Genomic DNA, 1,146 nt, shown 5'->3' with positions numbered 1-1,146 from the left:
GAACTGATGTCTTGATAATTGAGTTTTTCTACCCACAATCATTGAATATCTCCCTATTTATTTGGTTCTTCTTTGATTTTTTAAAATCAGAGTTTTTAGTTTTCCTCATAGATCTTAAACATATTTTGTTAGATTTAAATCAAAATATAGGCCAGGTGCAGTGGTTCATGCCTGTAATCCCAGCACTTTGGGAGGCCAAGGCGGGTGGATTGCTTGAGGTTAGGTGTTGGAGACCAGCCTGACCAACATGGTGAAACCCTGTCTGTACTAAAAATACAAAAAAAAATTAGCCAGGTGTGGTGGCAGGTGCCTGTAATCCCAGCTACTCGGGTGGTTGAGGCAGAAGAATCATTTGATCCCAGGAGGCAGAGATTGTAGTGAGCCAAGATTGCACCACTGCACTCCAGCCTGGGCAACAGAGCAAGACTCTGTCTCAAAAAATATATATATTTATATCAAAATATTTCATTTTGGTTTTTCCTGCCATCTTGGATCCTGCTGGGAACAAGACTTCTAAAAGAAAATATGTCTGGAAGCTGTGGTCCAAGGCCATTTTTGCTGGCTATAAGCAGGGTCTCCGGAACAGAGAGCACACAACTTTCCTTAAAATTGACGGTGTTTATGCCCGAGATGAAACAGAATTCTATTTGGGCAAGAGATGTGCTTATGTATACAAAGCAAAGAACAACAAAGTGACTCCTGGCGGCAATCAAACAAAACCAGAGTAATCTGGGGAAAGGTAACTCTGGCCCACAGAAACAGTGGCATGGCTTGTGCCAAATTCCGAAGCAATCTTCCTGCTAAGGCTATTGGACACAGAATCCAAGTGATGCTGTACCCTCATGCTGTACCCCTCAAGGATTTAAACTAATGAAAAGTCAATAAATAAAAGTGGATTTGTGCTCTTGTAAAAAAGCATTTCAGGCCGGGCTCAGTGGCTCACACCTGTAATCCCTGCACTTTGGGAGGCTGAGGCGGGTGGATCTGACCAACATGGTGAAACCCCGTCTCTACTAAAAATATGAAATTAGCCAGGTGTCGTGGCACATGCCTGTAATCCCAGCTACTTGGGAGGCTGAGGCAGGAGAATTGCTTGAGCCCAGGAGGCAGAGGTTGCAGTGAGCTGAGATCATGCCAATGCACTCC

The 1,146-nt window shown here is 43.9% G+C and overlaps 1 pseudogene; it reads left to right on the top strand.

The window, feature by feature from the left end:
• Positions 478-910, top strand: RPL35AP35 (ribosomal protein L35a pseudogene 35; annotated as a pseudogene).

This window comes from Homo sapiens, chromosome 17 (genome assembly GCF_000001405.40).
Source record: "Homo sapiens chromosome 17, GRCh38.p14 Primary Assembly".
Taxonomy (NCBI): Eukaryota; Metazoa; Chordata; class Mammalia; order Primates; family Hominidae; genus Homo; species Homo sapiens.
This window is presented reverse-complemented; position numbering and strand designations above follow the sequence as displayed.